This window comes from Homo sapiens, chromosome 17, assembly GCF_000001405.40.
Source record: "Homo sapiens chromosome 17, GRCh38.p14 Primary Assembly".
Lineage (NCBI taxonomy): Eukaryota > Metazoa > Chordata > Mammalia > Primates > Hominidae > Homo > Homo sapiens.
The window spans coordinates 43,003,147-43,025,223 of NC_000017.11; the positions used below are offsets into that span (position 1 = coordinate 43,003,147).

Genomic DNA, 22,077 nt, shown 5'->3' on the forward strand with positions numbered 1-22,077 from the left:
CTAAGAATTATCTGGGCCTGGTGGTGCACGCCTGTAGTCCCAGCTACTCGGGAGGTTGAGGCAGGAGAATTGCTTGAACCCGGGAGGCGGAAGTTGCAGGGAGGGCTGAGATAGCACCACTGCACTGCAGTCTGACAACAGCAAGACTCCATCTCAAAAAAAAAAAAAAAAAAAGACGCTGGGTGATGGATGAGGGGCTGGGAAAATGTTAAATCTGCCTTAATGAGATTTATGCTGCCTCTGTCCTTAGCCTGATAATCCCTGTGAAGAATTGTGTAGCCTCCCTGGCTTCTACCCATTACATGCCAGGAGAACCTCTGCCACACACACTCTGCCCCTCCTTGTGACAACCAAAGGCCCCTGAGTGGTGGGGATCAGGTATTTTTGATTGAGAACCACTAACCTGAAATTCTCAAACCTTAGCACAGATAGAGGTCACCTGGATGGTTTGTTAAACCACGGATTGCTGAAATCCTGCCCTCAGACTGATCCAGTAGGTCTGAGTTTCTAGCAGGTTTTCAGGTGACACTGGTACTGGTGTAGGTGAGATGGGGACCACCCTGGAGACCTGCTCCTGGTGGTAACGACAGATGCCTTTGGTGAATCCCTGAGCCTAGAGCAGCTGTTTAATAGGACAAGGGAGTGCTCCTCAAATGGCCTGGCTGGCAGAGACTTGAAAGAAAGTGATCAAAGGAGCTTTGGGGCATTGGGTTGTGCCACTACTGTGTAGTGCAGGAGAGACATTTGGTTCTTAGGATCTGGCATTTTATCTCTCAATGGACTGTAACTAGTCATGTTTCATGAATGAAATAGGTGCTCCATCTGAATGGTTCTGTCGCTAGAGGGAACTAAGATTCAAACAGGCCAGTTTGCCAAGTCTGCTAGGTACCACACTTGCACTTGGGAACCAGAGGGGGCGGGGTGGCGGGAAGGGGCCAAAAGTAGGATTGGTGAGTAACTGGAAAAAACTTTGGGCTAGGTTACTAGGAAACTTTTTTTTTTTTTTTTTGAGACAGAGGCTTGCTCTGTTGCCCAGGCTGGAGTGCAGTGGCACGATCTCGGCTCACTGCAAGCTCCGCCTCCCGGGTTCACGCCATTCTCCTGCCTCAGCCTCCCGAGTAGCTGGGACTACAGGCGCCTGCCACCATGCCCGGCTAATATTTTTGTATTTCTAGTAGAGACGGGGTTTCACCGTGTTAGCCAGGATGGTCTGGATCTCCTGACCTTGTGATCGTTCTACCTCAGCCTCCCAAAGTGCTGGAATACAGGCGTGAGCCACCGCGCCCAGCCACTTTTTTTTAAGATGGAGTTTTGCTCTTTCACCCACCCAGTCCGGAGCGAGGTGGCACTATCGGCTCACTGCAACTTCTGCCCCGCCCCGGGGTTCAAGCGATTCTCCTGCCTCAGCCTCCCAAGTAGCTAGGACTACAGGAGTGTGCTACCACACCCAGCTAATTTTTGTATTTTTAGAAGAGATGGGGTTTCACTATGTTGGCCAGGATGGTCTTGAACTTCTGATCTCATGATCCACCCACCTTGGCGTCCCAAAGTGCTGGGATTACAGGTGTGAGCCACTGCACCCAGCCAGGAAACTTTTTAATTGAATCTTCACACACTTAAGTATTAAGGCATCTCTATTGAGACAGACTTCTATTAAGTAGCTTGCCTACTCAGGGTCACAGAAATGGGGCTGAATTTAAAACTTTTGAGGAAAAATACAGCAAATTTTTTTCCACTCTACCTCAAGGCCCAAGTGTAAATACTGTTCCTACCAGGTTTGGATCCATGCTTTGATTCCTAGCCCTGTGACCTTGGGCAAGTTTCTAATGCTCTGTGCCTCAATTTTCTCATCTGTAAAGTGAAGAAAATAGAACCAACTTCATGGCATTGTTTTGAAGAGTTAATTCATGTAAGGCACAAGCGTGTTGGGCAGACGATAGCTCTCCTTGCTGGCCACTGTTAACAGTTTTGTGAACTTTTTTCTTTTTTTTTTTTTTGAGCCAGAGTCTCGCTCTGTCACCCAGCTGGAGTGCAGTGGCACGATCTCGGCTCACTGCAAGCTCCGCCTCCCGGGTTCAAGCGATTCCCCCGTCTCAGCCTCCCGAGTAGCTGGGACTACAGGCGCATGCCACCACGCCCGGCTAATTTTTGTATTTTTAGTAGAGACAGGGTTTCCCCATGTTGGTCAGGCTGGTCTCAAACTCCTGACCTCAAGTGATTCACCGCCTCAGCCTCCCAAAGTGCTGGGATTACAGGCGTGAGCCACTGCACCCAGCCTTTTTTTTTTTTTTTTTTTTTTTTTTAAGAGACAAGATTCACTGTGTTGCCCAGGCTGGCCTCGAACTCCTGGGCTCAAGCAGTCCTCCTGCCTCAACCTGCTGGAACTATAGGCACATGTTACCAGTGGGCCCAGCTGCTGGGATTGGCACTTTTTTTTTTTTTTTAGTCAGAATCTCACTCTGTTGCCCAGGCTGGAGTGCAGTGGTGTGATCCGGCCCGGCTAATTTTTTGTATTTTAGTAGGGACAGGGTTTCACCATGGTGGCCAGGATGGTCTCGTGATCCACCCGCCTGGACCTCCCAAAGTGCTGGGATTACAAGGCATGAGCCACTGCGCCTGGCAGTTTTGTGAACTTGAACTGTGGACTTTATCTGTCCTGATTGTGTTTCTCATTCATTCAGCAATTATTATTTTTTGAGATGGAGTTTCGCTCTTGTCACTCAGGCTGGAGTGCAACAGCGCGATCTTGGCTCAATGCAACCTCTGCCTCCCAGGTTCCAGCTATTCTCCTGCCTCGGCCTCCCAAGTAGCTGGGATTACAGGAATACACCACCACACCCGGATAATTTTTGTATTTTTTTAGTAAAGACGGGGTTTCACCACGTTGGCCAGGCTGGTGTCTAACTTGGGATCTCAGGTGATCTGCCCACCTGGGCCTCCCAAAGTGCTGGGATTACAGGTGTGAGCCACCGCACCCGGCAGTTTTGTGAACTTGAACTATGGGCGTTATCTGTCCTGACTGTGTTTCTCATTCATTCAGCAATTATTGTTTTATTTATTTTTTGAGATGGAGTTTCACTCTTGTCACCCAGGCTGGAGTGCAATGGCACCATCTCAGCTCAATGCAACCTCTGCCTCCGGGTTCCAGCTATTCTCCTGCCTCGGCCTCCCAAGTAGCTGGGATTACAGGAATGCACCTCCACGCCCGGCTAATTTTTGTATTTTTTTAGTAAAGGTGGGGTTTCACCATGTTGGCCAGGCTGGTCTCTAACTCCTGACCTCAGGTGATCTGCCCGCCTGGGCCTCCCAGAATGCTGGGATTACAGGTGTGAGCCGCCGCACCCAGCTCATTCAGCAATTATTTTATCAATGTTCAATGTGCCCAGCATTATTCTAGGCTCTAGGGAAATAATCCATTGACAAAGCAGGGTCTACCAATGGGCTTGTCGGAGATTGCTGGGAATGGTTGATGGGGGCCAGTTTGCAGTTGGGGTGAGGTGGCTTTCCTTGAGGCAGCCTGGCTGAGTGAAGTCGACTTTGCTGACCAAGAAGGCTCCTCCCAGGGGTGGGGAAGCCTCGGCAGGGGGCGGCATGTGAGCGCCAGAAGGCAGGGATTTCACGGAAATGAAAGTGGAAGCAAACAGCCTGCGAGCAGAGCCTCCTGAGGTGTATTTCGGGTCTTGCTGGGGCTGAGAGAGACCACAGCCCTTTGGGGGGTACAAACAAGAGTTCAGTTGCTGTGAATTCTGCCACTGTGCCCAGCTCTGAAGCCTCAGCTCTTGCCAAACAGACCCGAGACCCATGTCAGCCCCACTGGATGCCGTAAGTGAGGAGGAGGGAGTTGGGAAGTGGGGAAACAGGAGTAATCCTCTTGGCTAGGAACCTGCAGATATCTCAGGGCCTGGCAGCCAAGCCTCACCCTGCCCATCTCAGACCTGCTGAAGGGCTGGGGAGAAACACAGGGCTGGGGTTGCCTCTGCAAGAGTTGGTTCCCTAACCTATTGCCTCAGACAGGAGGAGCTCATTAAATCCTGTGTGTGTACACTTCTCTGGAGAGAGAATCTGTAGTTTCCATCAGATACTCAGCGGGTTCTGTGACCCAAATAACAATTGTTCTAGGCCGGGCGTGGTGTCTCACGCCTGTCATCCTAGCACTTTGGGAGGCCTTGGCAATACAGTGAAAATCCGTCTCTACTAAAATACAAAAAATTAGCTGTGTGTGGTGGTGTGCGCCTGTAATCCCAGCTACTTGGGAGGCTGAGACAGGAGAATCACTTGAACCTGGGAGGCGGAGGTTGCAGTGAGCCGAGATTGCATCACTGCACTCCAGCCTGGGTGACACAGCGAGACTCTGTCTAAAAAAAAAAAAAAAAAAATTAAACTAAAGGAATTAGGCTGGGTGTGTTGGCTCACACCTGTAATCCCAGCCAGCACTTTGGGAGGCTGAGGCGTGTGGATCACTTGAGGTTAGGAGTTCGAGACCAGCCTGGCCAACATAGCAAAACCCCATCTCTACTAAAAACACAAAAATTAGCCAGGCATGGTGGCACACACCTGTAATCCCAGCTACTAGGGAGACTGAGGCGGGAGAATTGCTTGAACCTGGGAGGCAGAGGTTGCAGTGAGCCGAGATTGTACCACTATGCTCCACTCTGGGCAACAGAGGGAGACTGTCTCTCACACACACACACACACAAAATTTATATATATATATATATATATATATACTATAAGAATTATACTTTAAGAATCACACTAGGTAATCCATAGATTAACACGGTAAAAACTTATCCCACTGCTTAGCACCTACAGAGCATTCAATATGTGTTTCTTCTTAATATTATTATTGCCAACCTTTTCAGAACCCCAGTTCCCCAAGGACAATCCCTTTTTTTTTTTTTTTTTTGAGACGGAGTCTCACTCTGTCTCCTAGGCTGGAGTACAGTGGCATGATCTCGGCTCACTGCAACCTCTGCCTCCCGGGTTCAAGCGATTCTCCTGCCTCAGCCTCCCAAGTAACTGGGAGTACAGGCACGTTCCACCATGCCTGGCTAATTTTTTGTATTTTTAGTAGAAATGGAGTTTCACCGTGTTAGCCGGGATGGTCTTGATCTTCTGACCTCGTGATCTGCCCCCCTCAAGCTCCCAAAGTGCTGGGATTACAGGTGTAAGCCACCATGCCCGGACTTTTCTTTCCTTTTTTTTTTTTTTTTTTTTTTGAGATGGAGTTTCACTCTTGTTGCCCAGGCTGAAGTGCAATAGCATGATCTTGGCTCACTGCAACCTCTGCCTTCCAGATTCAAGTGATTCTCTTGCCTCAGCATCCCAAGTAGCTGGGATTATAGGCACACATGCCACCACGCCTGGCTCATTTTTTTTTTTTTTTTTTTTTTTTGAGATGGAGTCTCGCTCTGTCACCCAGGCTGGAGTGCAGTGGCAGGATCTCGGCTCACAGCAAGCTCCGCCCCATGGGTTCATGCCATTCTCTTGCTTCAGCCTCCCAAGTAGCTGGGACTACAGGCACCCGCCACCACGCCCAGCTAGTTTTTTGTATTTTTGGTAGAGATGGGGTTGCACTGTGTTAGGCAGGATGGTCTCGAACTCCTGACCTCGTGATCCGCCTGCCTCAGCCTCCCAAAGTGCTGGGATTACAGGCGTGAGCCACCGTGCCCAGCATGGCTAATTTTTTGTAGAGACAGGGTTTCAGCATGTTGGCCAGGCTGGTCTCGAACTCCTGACCTCACATGATCTGCCTCCCTTAGCCTCCCAAAATGCTGAGATTACAGGCTTGAGCCACAGCACCCGGCTTTATATACGTTAAATTGGGCCATCTTTTTCAAATAAAAATCCAGATTTTTTGTTTTTTGGAGACAAGATCTCACTGTTTTTTCCAGGCTGCAGTGCAGTGGCTGGATCATGGCTCACTGCAGCCACCTCCACCTCTAGGGATCAATAGATCCTTCCATCTCAGCCTCCCGAGTAGCTGGGACTACAGGCATGTGCCACCATGCCTGGCTAATTTTTAAATATTTTGTAGAGGTAGAGTTTTGTCCTGTTGCCCAGGCTGGTCTCAGACTCCTGGGCTCAAGCGATCTGCCTCCCTTGGCCTCCCAAAGTGCTGGGATTACAGGCATGTGCCACAACAACCTGCCCAGATTTTTTATTTCTATTAAAAATGGGAAGATTAGGGGGCCTGGGTCCGTGGCTCCTGCCTGTAATCCCAGCACTTTGTGAGGCTGAGTTGGGCAGATCACTTCAGGTGGGAAGTTTGAGACCAGCCTGGCCAACATGGTGAAACCCCATCTCTACTAAAAATAAAAAATTAGAGCCGGGCACGGTGGCTCACTCCTGTAATCCCAGCACTTTGGGAGGCCGAGGTGGGTGGATCACGAGGTCAAGAGATTGAGACCATCCTGGCCAACATGGTGAAACCCCATCTCTACTAAAAATACAAAAATTAGCTGGGCATGGTGGTGCGTGCCTGTAGTCCCAGCTACTCGGGAGGCTGAGGCAGGAGAATCGCTTGAACCCGGGAGTCAGAGGTCGCAGTGAGCCGAGATCCTGCCACTGCATTCCAGCCTGGCGACAGAGCGAGACTCTGTCTCAAAATAAATAAATAAATAAAAAATAAAAAAAATTAGCCAGGAGTGGTGGCAGGTGCCTGTAATCCCAGCTACTTGGGAGGCTGAGGCAGGAGAATCTGTTGAATCCGGGAGGTGGAGTTTGCAGCGAGCCGATATTGCGCCACTGCACTCCAGCCTAGGCAACAGAGGGAGACTCCGTCTCAGAAAAGAAAAAAAAATAGAGGGCTGGGCGCGGTGTCTCACACCTGTAATCCCAGCACTTTGGGAGGCTAAGACGGGCAGATCATGAAGTCAGGAGATCGAGACCATCCTGGCTAACACGGTGAAACCCCGTCTCTACTAAAAATACAAAAAAATTAGCCAGGCGTGGTGGCGGGCACCTGTAGTCCCAGCTAATCGGGAGGCTGAGGCAGGAGAATGAAGTGAACTGGGAGGCGAAGCTTGCAGTGAGCAGAGATCGCGCCACTGCACTCCAGCCTGGGCGACAGGGTGAGACTCCGTCCCAAAAAGAAGAAAAAAAAAAAATAGCTGGCATGATGGCACACGCCTGTACTCAGGAGGCTGAGATGAGAGGATTGATTGATTCCAGGAGGTCGAGGCTGCAGTGAGCCATAATGGAGCAATTGCACTCCAGCCTGGGTGGCATTGAGACTTTGTCTCAAAAAACAAAACAAAACAAAAACATGGGTAGATTTGCTGTGGGGGGAAACTTTGTTATGGCTAGAAGCAGTTTACTTTAGAAAGGACATGCTCTTCCCAGTGCGTCAGAGTCCCCACCACTCTCTGTTATCCTACATGGCTCTATTAACTCATTAATGTCATCCAACTGGCCCTTAAAGGCACTGTGTTAGCACTCTCTGAGTTACAGAAATATGAATAACTAATGATCTTTTTCACTATTCATAAACCAGCATAATTTGGTCAAGCTCTAGTATTCTTCTGCTAAAAATAGAACAAACTCACACTGAATTTCTTTGGTGTCCTCTGTAATGTGCTCCTTTACCGTCATTCATTCACTTCATTTCTTCATTCAACACAGTTTTACCGGACACATATTTTGTGCCGGAGATCTTGCTGGACACAAGGAATACAGAGATGGTCAGAACAGAGTCCTATCTTTCCAAGAGATCTCATGCTTCTCTGAGCTGAACTTCTTTATCAGGATTCCTAACCACAGGGTGAACTCTGCTCTATTCCACAAACAAAGGTGCATTTATTGGTATCCCTGGTGTCACTTCCCTGCCTGTGATGTCAGTTCTCTCTCTGGACCCATTCCAGATCACACCCAGCCTAAAAGGTTACTTGGTGTACAGTGGAAAGTGTGACAGTCCAGGGACAAGCTAGAATTGATGGGTAAACTACCTCCCCACTCTGGGCTTCATTTCTTCACTGTAAAGCACAGGTTAGTGGGTGGGCTCTGGAGTCAGACAGCCTAGGGCCAAATGACTTTGGGCAAGTCATTTAACCTCTCTGAGCTTTAATTTCCTCATCTATAAAATAAGGATTGGCCAGGCATTGTGGCTTACACCTGTAATCCTAGCACTTTAGGAGGCCGAGGCGGGCAGATCATCTGAGGTCAGGAGTTTGAGACCAACCTGGCCAACATGGTGAAAACCTGTTTCTACTAAAAATACAAAAATGAGCCAGGTGTGGTGGTGGGTGCCTGTAATCCCAGCTACTTGGGAGGCTGAGGCAGGAGAATTACTTGATCCTGGGAGGTGGAGGCTGCAGTGAGCCAAGATCGCGCCACTGCACCCCAGCCTGGGAGACAGAGCAAGACTCTGTCTCAAAAATAAATAAATAAATAAAAATTAAAAAAATAAATCAATAAAATAAGGATCACAGGATATCTATCTTAGATACCCTGTTGTTCTAAGAATTGAATGAAATAATTCATCAGACGGGCTTAGCACAGTGCCTGGCATATAGTAAGTACTTAGTAAACGTTAGTTAAGAATATGACTGTATGACATTTTGCAACTAGTCTCCCCTCCTCTTGGAGGTGTCCCTAATTGGGTTAACCCCTTTGGGATTGTCCCTCTTCCAAATTCCGGCTGCCCTTCACAGTCAGTCATGTGATCATGTACTCTTGAGCACTGTTTGGCAGGCCTGAGGGTCGTACCCTTATCTTCCACTGCCTGTGTCAGTGCCGAGCACTTTCTAGCAGGAGCTTAATCAGTGTTTGTTGAACTCTAGATCTGTGGTCACGAACAAGTCATGGACGCTGCAAAGGCTCCTGCCCTTTCAAGAGCAGCTGAGATGAGGCCAGCCAAGCCCTGGGTGGAGGGGGCCAAGACCAGCCCAGGGCAGCACAAAGGGGTTGGGTTGTTCTTGAGCTTAGCATCAACTCTGCTTTTGGAGCGTCCAGAATAGGCCCCACTTCCCCTGGGCTTGTTGATTCTCTGGAAGGGCGGGTAGAAGTCTTGTTGTTTCCTTCTGCCCCAACAGGCCCTCCACGCCCTTCAGGAGGAGCAGGCCAGACTCAAGATGAGGCTGTGGGACCTGCAGCAGCTGAGAAAGGAGCTCGGGGACTCCCCCAAAGACAAGGTAAGGTGGGAGATCTGGTGTTGTTTGGTAAAAACGAGCTGGCGAGGCCGGGTGCGGTGGCTCACACCTGTAAACCCAGCACTTTGGTAGGCCAAGGGGGCCTGATCACCTCAGGTCAGGAGTTTGAGACCAGCCTGGCCAACACAGTGAAATCCCATCTCTACTAAAAATACAAAAATTAGGCCGGGCGCAGTGGCTCACGCCTGTAATCCCAGCACTTTGGGAGGCCGAGGCTGGTGGATCACCTGAGGTCAGTTTGAGACCAGCCTGGCCAACAGGGTGAAACCCCGTCTCTACTAAAAATACAAAAATTAGCTGGGTTTGGTGGCACATGCCTGTAATCCCAGCTACTTGGGAGGCTGAGTCCGAATTGCTTGAACCTGGGAAGTGGAGGTTGCAGTGAGCCAAGATCATGCCACTACACTCCAGCTGGGTGACAGAGCAAGACTCCCTTTAAAACAAAGAAACACAAAAAAGAGCTGGGGAGTTCTCGGTTTTATTCCTGGCTCTGCTACTTCCTTGCTGTGTGACCTCCATTATGTTACTTGAACATCTGTAAAGTAGAGCTACCCACCTCCCAGGACAAATTAAGATGTTGTATGTAAATTGCCCTGTATGGACCAGACCTGCATTCATCCACTCATTTATCCAGCTTTTCTTTCAGTAAATGTATTTATCTCCGGCACTCAGCATCAATGGAATGGAATCGGAGATGCCTTCCTCCTAGGTGGGAGTGAGGAACACTCCTACTCCCCTCCCCTACTTCCAGGTCCCATTTTCAGTGCCCAAGATCCCCCTGGTATTCCGAGGACACACCCAGCAGGACCCGGAAGTGCCTAAGTCTTTAGTTTCCAATTTGCGGATCCACTGCCCTCTGCTTGCGGGCTCTGCTCTGATCACCTTTGATGACCCCAAAGGTAAGCTCATGGGGAGCCTCAGGAGGGAGGTGGGGAGGGTTCCCAGTACTGACCCTGTTTCCCACCACCCAGTGGCTGAGCAGGTGCTGCAACAAAAGGAGCACACGATCAACATGGAGGAGTGCCGGCTGCGGGTGCAGGTCCAGCCCTTGGAGCTGCCCATGGTCACCACCATCCAGGTGATGGTATGACAGAATCCTGGGGCATGCAAAGCATGCCATGCACCTGGGCATGGGGAAGTGGAGCTGTGTCTGGGACCACCCCTTGCTGTCTCCCCCTAGATGTCCAGCCAGTTGAGTGGCCGGAGGGTGTTGGTCACTGGATTTCCTGCCAGCCTCAGGCTGAGTGAGGAGGAGCTGCTGGACAAGCTAGAGATCTTCTTTGGCAAGACTAGGAACGGAGGTGGCGATGTGGACGTTCGGGAGCTACTGCCAGGGAGTGTCATGCTGGGGTTTGCTAGGGATGGAGGTGAGGGCTATGCAGGCCTCCTGCAGGGGAGAGGGTATAGGGTGTGCAAGATTACGGTGCAGGGAGAGGAGAGGGCTTGATGCTAAAGGCCCACCCCTCCTTGCTCCCCACAGTGGCTCAGCGTCTGTGCCAAATCGGCCAGTTCACAGTGCCACTGGGTGGGCAGCAAGTCCCTCTGAGAGTCTCTCCGTATGTGAACGGGGAGATCCAGAAGGCTGAGGTAAGCAGGAGGGGTGAAGAACAGGGGCTGGGCTGGGTAACCTGTCTGCCTGCCAGGAACTTGCCCAATGAAGGATCAGAGGCCCCAAACCCCACTGACCTACCTACCCACCATCAGCCTCTCCAGGCCTCCCGACCTCATACCCCCATGGGGCACTGCCTGCCCTACCCCCAGCCCCCAGCCCTTCTCCCATGAGCCTTTGCCATCTCCTGGCTCCTTTTCCAGATCAGGTCGCAGCCAGTTCCCCGCTCGGTACTGGTGCTCAACATTCCTGATATCTTGGATGGCCCGGAGCTGCATGACGTCCTGGAGATCCACTTCCAGAAGCCCACCCGCGGGGGCGGGGAGGTAGAGGCCCTGACAGTCGTACCCCAAGGACAGCAGGGCCTAGCAGTCTTCACCTCTGAGTCAGGCTAGGGGCCTCCCCTTCTCATCCTCCCCACCCCCCCGCCAAGGTTCTCACACTGGCCTGGGCTTGGGTGCCCATATAGGAGGTCTGTATGTTCACCAACAGTGCGGAGGGGTCACACATTGCAAAACACTGCCCAGAACAGTAAAAAGAGCCTGCATGCCATGATGTTCTTCCTCATTTCACTCATGAAAGGAAACGTGATTTGGGCATGGAAAGAGGCAGGGGGCAGGAAGCAGCCCAGATCTTCTGCTGGCAGCACTAGCCTTCCAGGAGCTCACCTTCCCTCCACTCTCAGAGGCAACAAGCAGGACCCAGGGTTTGGCTTTTTATTGACACAAACACACAAAGGCAGCTGTGGTAATGGGGTGGTGGGGTACACAAAAGCAGAAATCGCACTTCACACATTTAGGCCTCATTTAGACAATGAGGAGGCTGAGCCTGTCCCTCCACCTCCCATTGCAATGGTTGGGGCAATAACCCTCCCTAATCCTAGCTCAGTGAGTAGAGGGAGTGACCTCCCTACCCAGGAAGTCCCCATTTTGGTTGCAATGGCCCAGGTCCTGACCATCCCACTCTGTACTTCCCTGCTCCATCTCCCCACCCATGTAAACAGAGTTTTGGGCTGAGTTTGATAAGCTGCCTCTCTGCTTTGAGAAGGCAGTAGGGCCTCCCCTAACTGCAAGGGGAATGTGCTTGGATTTTTACTTTGGTCCCAGTACAAGAAACAGACAGCACTGCCTTTCAGAGCTCTGGCTAGTAAATGCCACACATATCTGCAAGGCTGAGGAAGCTTCCCCGCCTTTCTCCTCAACCACCATAGAGACGGGACATGGCACAGACCACGATGAGGGCACCTGTTTTTGCCCTGCCTCCCCAGGAGGCTTGGGGCTGCCCCACCCAATGGCACATACACAGATTTTTGGCAGTGTTGTGGGACTGGGGAGGAGAGAAACCCCAGCTCCACCAGAACAAGGAAGGCACTGGGGAGTACAGGGGAGGAGAAGGAGGTGGGAAACAGGATCCTCCCTCCCCGCCGCCACACACACACAAGCACAGGTTTTCGTTGCTAAGGCACTGAGAACAAATCCAGAGAACTCAGTGAAGGGTGGGGGCTCTGTATCCTTCCCAGAGTTGTGACCTAGGGGAGTAGGTCTGATTCCCGCCCTGTTGGAAGAGGCAGCCTTGGTTAAGAATGGCAGAAAACCTGGAGATGGAAGAAGCCCAATTGTGCTTAAGAAGTTGGGGACAGAGGACGAGATTGGGAACTGGTCAAGCCCAGAGGCGGGCACTGGTCAGCCCAGGCTGAAGGGACACTAGGGAGAGACAGGTACATGCTGGACTCACAGAGATTGGCCCCATATCCTGAGCTGACGTTTCAATTCTTTGGGGAGGTGGCGGGGCAGGGACGGGAGGAAAGATGAGGCAGAGGTGAAAGCACATGGAACACAACAGGGGGGACTGGCTAACCTTGGCACAAAAGCAGCACAGCAGGCCCGGGGAAAGGGTGGGGGCAGGAAGCAGCCGGCCTCCCTCTGACCCTCCCTGTCGCCTTGGCAGGGCCCAGACATCCAAATGGTCACTTCCCAACCTCTTCAGAGGTCAGGAAGCGGGGAGGGGCAGGGGAGAGCGGTCATCACCACAGAGACCTTCGGGGGAGGGAGGGCAGAGCATTATGACAGAGGCTGAAATGCAAGTCTGGTGGCCAACAGAACGTAGCTTCCCAACTTCTCCCTTCGCTGGTCTCTAGGGTCTCACAGCCACTTGCCCTAGTTCTCCTTCTCTGGCCCTGGAACCAGGAGGACCTTGCCCACATTCTTCTTCTCCTGCATCTGTTTCATGGCATCAGCCACCTGGGGAGGAAGGAAAGATGCGGCTCCCAGTGCTATCCAACCCTCATCCAACAAGAGCCAGTGTGATGCAGGCAGCCCTCCTCTTCCCCAGGAATCTGCCCCTTGGGACCCCAGCCTTCATGAGTCCTACCCAAGCCCTCCCTGCAAAGTCCTCACATTCACCTTCTCGAAGGGCCAGACTGAGTCAATGTGGGGCTTGATGTGGCCCTGGTTGTACAGAGCCAGGAGGCGGGCCACCACACCACTGACCAGCTCCACCTCACCATCCAGGTAGCCCAGGTGGAAGCCACACACAGCCCGGTTGGCCTGCAGCAGCTGCAGAGCTGTCACGCTGAACTGATTCCACCATGTCCGGGCCAGGGCCATCAGGTTCCGTTTGGGGCCCGTCAGCAGGTTGGCCATTCCTGAAGGACAAGGTGACATAGCCTGTGAACCCCCCCAGGCACATCCCTGTGTGTCTGCATCTGTGCTCTCTGTTCCCTGTGATCCCCTTGCAATTCTCCACACCAGTGCCAGGGAGTGATTGGATAATTCTCAAACTGCTGGTTACCAGGCCCAAACCAACCCTGGCTGACTTTAAATTGCTCTAGGGGCTGGGTGCTATGGCTCACATCCATAATCCCAGCACTCTGGGAAGCCAAGGTGGGGGGATCACTTGAGGTCAGGAGTTCGAGACCAGCCTGCCCAAAATGGTGAAACCTTGTCTCTACTAAAAAATACGAAAATTAGCCAGGTGTTGGCCGGGTATGGTGGCTCACGCCTATAATCCCAGCACTTTGGGAGGCCGAGGTGGGCGGATCACTGGACGTCAGGAGTTCGAGACCAGCGTGACCAACATGGAGAAACCCCGTCTCTACTGAAAATACAAAATTAGCTGGGCATGGTGGTACATGCCTGTAATCCCAGCTACTCAGGAAGTCTGAGGCAGGAGAATCGCTTGAACCCGGGAGGCGGGTTCTAGGCTCAAGCCATCTGCCTGCCCTGGCCTTCCAAAGTGCTGGGATTACAGGCATGAGCCACCATGCCTGGCTTATTTTGTTGTATGAAATACTTTTTTAAATGAAAATGCACCCTGCCTAAGATGCTCAGGGAGGTAGGACAGAAAGAAGGCAGGCTGGTTGTTCAAGAATAATCCCCAAACAAGAATGTAGAATTTGGCCAGGCGTGGTGGCTCACGCCTATAATCCCAGCACTTTGGGAGGCTGAGGCGGCTGGATCACCTGAGATCAGGAGTTCAAGACCAGCCTGGCCAACATGGTGAAACACCGCCTCTACTAAAAATACAAAAATTAGTTGGGCGTGGTGGCAGACACCTGTAATTCCAGCTACTCGGGAGGGTGAGGCAGGAGAATCGCTTGAACCCAGGAGGCAGAGGTTGCACTGATCGAGATCATGCCATTGCACTCCAGCCTGGGCGACAAGAGCGAAACTCCATCTCAAAAAAAAAAAAAAAAAAAAAAGAATGTAGAATTTACTATCACTCATATGAAAAGTTGTGACAGAGAATGAAAAGAGCTGGTACCCAAGAGTCAGCAATCTGAATGCAGCATACAGGACCATTCCTAACCCTGATCGTCTACAGAGCACCTGAGTCCCTACCCCTTCTTCATTCAAAAGCCCTGGCCTCTATATCCCACCCCTTAGACCCTCCCTCCTGCCCTCACATGCTCTCTCCATCCCTGGCCCACTAACTCACCATAGGTGACGACTTTGCCCATGGGTTTCAGGAGGTTGTAGCCCTTGGCAGTATCTGACCCACCCAGAGGGTCCATGACAATGTCCACTCCTGTCATAGAGTAGGGGAACCCAAGAACAACATTAGGATCCACAGATCTGGAGCTCCCCTCCCTGTCCTGTGCCTCCCTACCCCCTCCCATATTATGCCCCCCACCTTTAGGGGAAATCTTCTTGATCTCATCCACGTAGTCAGTCGTGTGATAGTCGATGGGATGTGTGACCCCATTCTCCTTCAGTGCCTCGTGCTTGCTGGCCGAGGCCGTTCCGAACACTGTCACATTCTCCACTGTACGGCACAGCTGCACGGCAGCCATACCCACACCCCCTGCAGCAAGACACCCATAAGCAGGGGATATGGAGTTGCCCTGGCCACCAACCACTCCATTCTAGCCTCCCAGGGACTCAGCCTGTCACCTTCATTTTGCCTACGCTCATTTTAGGGCCGTGTCTAATTTCCATGACTGAGAAGTGGTGGGGAAGGTAGCTAGAGAGGTGGGGGTGTGGGGTGAGGGCACGTTGCTAAGGATAGCACACCAGACTAGACCTGGTGCCTGAATGTTACCACGGCAACTACACAGCAGAGGCCTCTGGGAGCCACAGGCCAAGGCAGCCTGGTGTTGCCATGACAACAACCCAGACAGGCTGCAGGGAAGGGGCCTGGAAGGAAATCTGGGTGGGGTAAGGGGTGATAAAGTGAGGGGACCTGTCACCTGCAGCCATGTGTACCAAGACGCTGTGGCCAGGCTGTAGGTTGCCGAAGTCAAAGAGGACCATGTAGGCTGTAATGTAATTGACGAGCAAGGCAGCAGCTTCCTCAAAGGTCATGGCCTCAGGAATCAGGAAGGTCTGGACCGAGGGCACAGTCACCTCTTCCTGCCACATCCCTGACCGGTTCAACACCATCACCCGGTCTCCTGCCTTGAAGAACAGAAGAGTATCATTCAGTCACTCATTCATTCACCCACAGGCTATTTACTGATTTCCCCCTAGGTACAAGGCTACCTTCTTCCAAATGAAGTAGCAGGAGAAGCAGCAATAGTCATGGTAATAATAATAATAATAACATCATCATCAACAACAATAACAACTCACCTTTACTGAGTGCTGACTGAGGGCCGAGCCCGATTTCAAGTGCTTTATATATAATGCTTAATTAACCCTTACATCAGTTCTTTGAGGCAGATACTATCCTTATCATCTTCTTACAGATCTTACATGTCACTATTGTGTAAGATCCCTGAATGCAAGAAGCTTACAGTTAGGGCAGCATGAAGTATTGTGGAAAAGATCAAACTGCTGTGGTTACAAAAGCGGTCTCAACTGTTTACTGACTGTGTGACTTCGGATGCATAAAAATTACTTAATCTTTTTGAGCTCCACTTTTCCAGCTCCAGTTTTCTTATCTGTCAATTAGGGCAGTTTTTCCAAATGGAAAAAAAAAATTTTAGCACAATGTCTGGCACATAATAAGCACTTAATAATGTTAGCTAACAATAATAATAATAATAATATAATAGCAGCAAGGAAGTCACACAACCAAAAGAAGACGGCACTGTGTGGTCAGGGCCATACCAAAGTGCAGGCAAAGTTCTCTGAGCGCTTACAGCAGGGTGTGGTCACCTCGGGAGAAGTGTGTTTGAGCCAGCACTGGGAGCCCAGAAAACATCTTCACTCAGAGATGGTGCAGGAGGGGCAACAGACAAGAAGGGCTACAGAGGCCTACGCAGCAGTAAAAGGCTTCCCCCCCACCCCCACGAGAGCCTCTGTGCAGGAGGGAAAGGGGACAAAGATAACAGAACCTTTCTCTCCAGCTTAGCAAGTGGGGTCAAGGGAAGGGCAGGGAAAAGGAGGGAGCGTCAGGAGAAAAGACTTCTCTGCGCTCTCTGAAGAGCATGAAGAGGGAGGTGTGGGTGCTGTTCTGGGACAATCTGGGTCTGTCTTGATCCCTGCCAGGAATGATGGGAATTCTGTATATTAACAAGAGTTAGGGTCCATGGGGAAGGGGGATGGGACTGCCACTTACGCCCTTTTTCATGTCCTCAAGCCCCCACACTCCACTGAATACGAGAACTGAGGGCATGCTGGGGTCTTTCCTTCCAAGTTCTGGCCTGAGATGAGGTCTGGAGAACAAGAACGGAAGCCCTCCACCCAGGGACTCAGGACTAGCAGATACAGAACAACCCAGGAGAGCTGCGAGGAGTGCATTGGTCATTTAGGGTCATGGCCAGTCCCAGATTTGACCCAGAACAAGTCTCACTTACCCTGGCTCATGCTAACCCTCAGGCCATCCAAATCAGGGCCATGACCCCTCCCCAACCCAGACACCAGGAAGGAGGAGGAGGGAGAGAGAGGGAAGGGCCCTCCCCGCAGAATCCAGGCTCTTACATCAGATTCTTGCCCTGGACAGGATATCCTGTATTTACCAGGCGGAAAGTGTATGGAGGGGAGGTGAGGTGGGTGGCCTTCAGCAGTAACATGAACTACAACTACCTCCCGAAAATATTCCTCTTAGACGCCTGCTCAAGAGTGGGATCATTTAGAAGTCAGTTTGAGGGTGGGGCCAGAGCTGAATTCAGAGGAAAGCCTTAAGGAGAAGCTGTTTGCATACAGGATGAATCCAACAAACCTGGCTCCAGAATTGGGCTGGCAGGTCTGCAAGAGGCTGCATCTGTGGGGCCTCTCATTGAGGGGTCTGATTTAAAAAGGAAACTCCTGGCCAAGCGCAGTGGCTTATGTCTGTAACCCCAGCACTTAGGGAGGCCGAGGTGGGCAGATCACCTGAGGTCGGGAGTTCGAGACCAGACTGACCGACATGGAGAAACCCATCTCTACTAAAATACAAAATTAGCCAGGCATGGTGGCGCATGCCTGTAATCCCAGCTACTCGAGAGGCTGAGGCAGGAGAATCGCTTGAACCCGGGAGGCAGAGGTTGCGGTGAGCCGAGATCGCGCCATTGCACTCCAGCCTGGGCAACAAGAGCGAAACTCCGTCTAAAAAAAAAAAAAAAAAAAAAGAAAAAGAAAAAAAAAAGAAACCTCTAAACAAATGGCGTGCTGAGGCCTCATCCCAGGTCTCTCAAAAAGCTGATCATTTTGAGCTCTCTGGTGTCCAGGGTTGTGGCCAAGATTAATGATAAATGAGAAGGAGAAACAGGCCTGCAGACTTGGCCAACCAGTTCAAGGCGCCGCACCTCTCCGTTCCAGTCCAAACCCCTGGCACTGGGGTTTCTGAAGTGGGGGTCCTCTGCAGGAGGAAGGCAGAGGTGGGTCCCCCCTTCCACTCCCCGCCCCAGGCATTCCCAAGGGCAGCCCCGGGTCGTGGCCCGAAGGCTGAGGGCTGAGTCACAGGAGGAGGAGATACTGCAGTCACGGGAGACACAGAGCCCAAGACAAAGATCGGATGACCCAATCCCGCCTCCCCCACCCCAAAATCAGATCGGCGGTGTAAGGCTGGTGGCGGTGGGGTAGCAAAGGCTCTCTCTCCTCCGTGATGGGCGTGTCTCGTCTCTTTGGCCTTGCTTTGGGAGGGGCCGCCTCACACCCCCACAGACCACGGGGCTGCATGTGACCAGGACTCTGGCACGGCCGCTGTGCCCCCGCCCAACCCCGACGACATAGCCCCTCAAGCTCCCTCGGGGAAAGGGGGCACTAACCGTCACTCATAGTCACAGACCACAATTACCCAGAGAGTGTTTGGTGGGTAGGGGTACAGGTGTGGTTTTAATGGGGGGGGGGGGGGGGGGTGGGGACGGTAGTGTGGTTGTGCGCATGCGCATGGGCACCTTATTGTTTTCCCCCCCACCAGCACAGCTTCTGGGCGGCGGCCACAACTAAAAATGGTTGGGGAAGGGGCGATAATTTCGTCTCCCCTCCCCACATAAATGCCGCTCTCCAGGAGCCCCCAAACACAAGTTCCTTGGCTACGCTTTCCACGCTCGTGCACCCAGGTCCGCGCCAGTTTCTCCCGCCCTGCCACACCCCCGGCGCTCGCCCACTCGTGCCCCACTGCCCAGTGGCCTGCGCAGCCCTGCCCTGCCCTACGCAACCCGCTCACCTTGCGGTCGCTGACTCCCTCGCCCACTGCGATCACAACACCCGCGCCCTCCATGCCCGGAGTGACAGGCAGAGGCGGGAGACGGTCGTACAGCCCCTGCCTAGCCATGAGGTCTGCGAAGTTGAGCCCGCAGGCCCGCAGACGCAGCGTCAGCTGGCCGGGCCCAGGGGCCGGGGGCGCTGCCGGCCGGCTCTGCAGCTTCACCTTGTCGTAGCCTCCAAAGCCGGTGAGCACTAGGCAGCGCAGCAGTGGCGGCGAGGCGGCGGCGGCGGCGGCCCCTTCGGAGGCCGCGGGATGCTGGGGGTCGCTCGCTGCCTCGGTTTTCGGAGGCGGCGAAGAGGCGTCTTCCCCGGTCGCTGCCTCGGCTACCTCTCTCTCGTCGGACATGGCTGGGACTCCCGACGAGAGCGCACAGCTGGATGGAGAGTGCACAGCTGGGGAAGGCGGAACGCGTCGGGAAGAGCCGCGGCTGCGGGATCCAGCGGGAGGGGCGGGGCGCCGGGCGAGGCGGGGCCTCGCGCTCAGCCTTAAAGGGCCAGGGCCATAGTGGCGCAAGCTGGGAGAGCACGAAAAGGGGCACCAGGAACGTCTGTGCTCTTGGGATCAAGCCGACTGTGATTTATTTATTCATAGTAAACCTTATTCAAATTAAAAACTATTTTAAGGGATAGGCCTGGCGCGGTGGCTCACGCCTGTAATCCCAGCACTTTGGGAGGCCGAGGCTGGTGGATCATTTGAGGTCAGGAGTTCAAGACCAGCCTGGCCAACATGGTGAAACCCCCGTCTTTACTAAAAATAAAAAAGTTAGCCGGGCGGTAGTGGCGCGCGCCTGTAATCTCAGCTACTTGGGAGGCTGAGGCAGAGGAATCGCTTGAGCCTGGGAGGCGGAGGTGAGCCGAGATCGCGCCACTACACTCCAGTCTGGGCAACAGAGTGAGACCCTGTTAAAAAAAAAAAAAAAAAGGGCCGGGCGGCGTGGCTCACGCCTGTAATCCCAACACTTTGGGAGGCCGAGGCGGGTGGGTGGATCACCTGAGGTCAGGAATTCGAGACCAGCCTGACCAGTATGGTGAAACCCCAGCTCTACTAAAACTACAAAAATTAGCCAGGCATGGTGGCAGGTGCCTATAGTCCCAGCTACTAGGGAGGCGGAGGCTGGAGAATTGCTTGAACCCAGGAGGCGGAGGTTGCAGTTAGCCAAGATCATGCCGCTGCACTCCAGCCTGGGCTACAGAGGGAGACTCCATCTCGAAAAAAAAAAAGGCCGGGCGCGGTGTCTCACGCCTGTAATCCCAGCACTTTGGGAGGCCGAGGCGGGCAGATTACGAGGTCAGGAGATTCACCTGGCTAACACGGTGAAACCCCGTCTCTACTAAAAAATACAAAAAATTAGCCAGGCGTGGTGGCAGGCGCCTGTAGTCCCAGCTACCTGGGAGGCTGAGGCAGGAGAATGGCATGAACCCAGGAGGCAGAGCTTGCAGTGAGTCGAGATCGCGCCACTGCACTCCAGCCTGGGCTACAGAGCGAGACTCCGTCTCAAAAAAAAAAAAAAAAAGTTAAGGAACAGTCCCAAAACTTGAACTTACATCAGATTTGGAGTTAACTCATATCAGATTTGGAGTCAGCCACCTGTGGACTGGAGTCCAACTACATTGTGTCTCAGGCTCTGACATCTAACCCAGGCAGGGATGAGACTTAATTCACTGTGGTCTTGCAGTGGCAAAGTAGAAGCATGGAGACCAAGCCTTTAAAACTTTCTGACTTTGGTGTTAACGTTCTGTTCCTCATTTTCCCTTCTGTAACATAGTGATGATGCTGCGTGCTCTAGTTATATTTATATTTTTATTTTTTTGATACAGGGTCTCACTCTGTCACCCAGGCTGAGCGAGGTGGGGCGATCACAGCTCCCTACAGCCTCAAACTCCCGGCTTCAAGCAATCCTCCCACCTCAGCCTCCTGAATAGCTGGGACCACAGGCATGTGTCACCACGCCCGGCTAACTTTATGTTTTACTGCTCTTTGCAGAGCAGGGCTACCCCATAGGCAGCGTGCCTAGAGTGGCCAAACCTAGCTAAGTTTTGATTTTTTTTTCTAGAGAGAGGGTCTCGCTAATGTTGCCCAGGATGGCCTCAAACTCCTGCACGCAAGCAAGCCTTGGCCTCCCAAAGTGCTGAGTTTACAGGCGTGAGCCACCGCGCCCAGCTTCTAGTTATCTTTACAGAATTATTTGCAGCATATATTATTGACTCGAATTGCCTCGATATAAAAAAGCACTTTTTTTTTTTCGAAACTCTATTGCACAAGCTGGAGTGCAGTGAGGCAATCTCGGCTCACTGCAAGCTCCGCCTCCCGGGTTCACGCCATTCTCCTGCCTCAGCCTCCTGAGTAGCTGGGATTACAGGCGCCCACCGTGCGGGTTTCACCGTGTTAGCCAGGATGATAGTCTCGATCTCCTGACCTCTTGATCCGCCCGCCTCGGCCTCCCAAAGTGCTGGTATTACAGGCGTGAGCCACCGCGCCCGGCCTATTGTCAGACTCTTAATCAAGCCTGACTTTTGGGTTTAGCTCTGGCTCCAGCAGAGCAACTCTGGCGGTTGGTTCTTTCTCTTCCTTATCTCCTTGTCCCCAAGCATCCACCAGAGGACGCAGCTCCCCCAAAACTTTCCACCCAGTGCTTGGCTGGAGGAACTCAGTCCACGCTTCTCTGCTAGTCTAGGCCGGCGGTTAAGTCAATGTAACCGGAGACCCGGCTGCCCGTTGCCATGGGGACGGAAAGCTATGATGTCACCACCGTCCGGGTGGGTGTGCTGGGGTTCACCCTCCCATTTCCCCAAGACCCCCTGCCAGGACATAGGCGGACGCGGGAGAGAAAACCAAAGAGGCTCCCTCCTTCCCCTTAGCATCTCTCTCCCGCCGTGTTCAGGAAGTGGATGGCTGCCCCAGCTCTTGTCCGCACTGGTACACCTGCGTGCACGCGTGGGTACACAGCAGGCCCGAGCTTCGCGCTTGTGCCGCTCATATTCTACCCCTAAGAACTTCGCTTGAACTCTGACCTGCCCTTATATCCGAGAAAGTCAAATAAGCCCAGTTCGGCCTGTCCCAAACCGGCAGGGGCCCCTCAGACCACACCGGCGGGCTGGACCCCGGCTCTGAGGCCTCTGTTCCCAGGGCTCCGCCCAGATCTTCTGGGCCCCGCCCCCCGGCTGCGGGGGTGGGAGGAGGGGCCGGGGGGGCGCGGCCGCCTGGCTGGGGGCGGGGCGGAGGGGGGGCCGCGGACCCGGGGCGGGG

The 22,077-nt window shown here is 52.8% G+C and overlaps 2 protein-coding genes across 4 annotated transcripts, besides 2 other annotated features; one reads left to right on the plus strand and one right to left on the minus strand.

The window, feature by feature from the left end:
* Positions 3,498–3,807: an enhancer, noted in NCBI's record as "active region_12233". NCBI's record gives its function as "activates an Ori minimal core promoter by ATAC-STARR-seq in GM12878 lymphoblastoid cells {active_cell/tissue: GM12878}" and the evidence as "EXISTENCE:reporter gene assay evidence [ECO:0000049][PMID:35858748]".
* On the plus strand, positions 3,638–11,310 carry IFI35 (interferon induced protein 35). 3 transcript variants are annotated; one of them, NM_005533.5, is made up of 7 exons: positions 3,638–3,822; positions 9,033–9,131; positions 9,901–10,048; positions 10,121–10,233; positions 10,330–10,516; positions 10,630–10,736; positions 10,962–11,310. In NM_005533.5, the coding sequence occupies exons 1-7, from the start codon at positions 3,802–3,804 to the stop codon at positions 11,151–11,153; spliced, it is 867 nt and encodes a 288-aa protein (NP_005524.2). In that variant the 5' UTR covers positions 3,638–3,801; the 3' UTR covers positions 11,154–11,310. The 3 variants fall into 3 exon arrangements, with proteins under 3 accessions (NP_005524.2, NP_001317159.1, XP_016880073.1); NM_001330230.2 differs by having other exon boundaries at positions 10,121–10,227; XM_017024584.2 differs by lacking the exon at positions 3,638–3,822 and adding an exon at positions 7,613–7,791.
* A 150-nt stretch (positions 11,311–11,460) lies between these two features.
* Positions 11,461–19,239, minus strand: VAT1 (vesicle amine transport 1). The gene is made up of 6 exons (NM_006373.4): positions 18,790–19,239; positions 15,446–15,653; positions 14,890–15,060; positions 14,695–14,784; positions 13,161–13,402; positions 11,461–12,998 (listed from the first exon to the last, which is right to left on the minus strand). The coding sequence occupies exons 1-6, from the start codon at positions 19,174–19,176 to the stop codon at positions 12,915–12,917; spliced, it is 1,182 nt and encodes a 393-aa protein (NP_006364.2). The 5' UTR covers positions 19,177–19,239; the 3' UTR covers positions 11,461–12,914.
* Positions 21,909–22,048: a silencer, noted in NCBI's record as "silent region_8550". NCBI's record gives its function as "represses an Ori minimal core promoter by ATAC-STARR-seq in GM12878 lymphoblastoid cells {active_cell/tissue: GM12878}" and the evidence as "EXISTENCE:reporter gene assay evidence [ECO:0000049][PMID:35858748]".

Bases quoted from the DNA above. Each gene is read 5' to 3' on its own strand.
- VAT1 (NM_006373.4), bottom strand. From the start codon at position 19,176: ATGTCCGACGAGAGAGAGGTAGCCGAGGCAGCGACCGGGGAAGACGCC. The intron at 15,061-15,445 runs GTGACAGGTCCC...GTCTTGCTGCAG, and splicing joins CTTGGTACACATGGCTGCAG to GGGGTGTGGGTATGGCTGCC. The intron at 12,999-13,160 runs GTGAATGTGAGG...CTTCCTCCCCAG, and splicing joins CAGTCTGGCCCTTCGAGAAG to GTGGCTGATGCCATGAAACA.
- IFI35 (NM_005533.5), top strand. From the start codon at position 3,802: ATGTCAGCCCCACTGGATGCC. The intron at 9,132-9,900 runs GTAAGGTGGGAG...CCCTACTTCCAG, and splicing joins GGGACTCCCCCAAAGACAAG to GTCCCATTTTCAGTGCCCAA. The intron at 10,737-10,961 runs GTAAGCAGGAGG...CTCCTTTTCCAG, and splicing joins GGGAGATCCAGAAGGCTGAG to ATCAGGTCGCAGCCAGTTCC.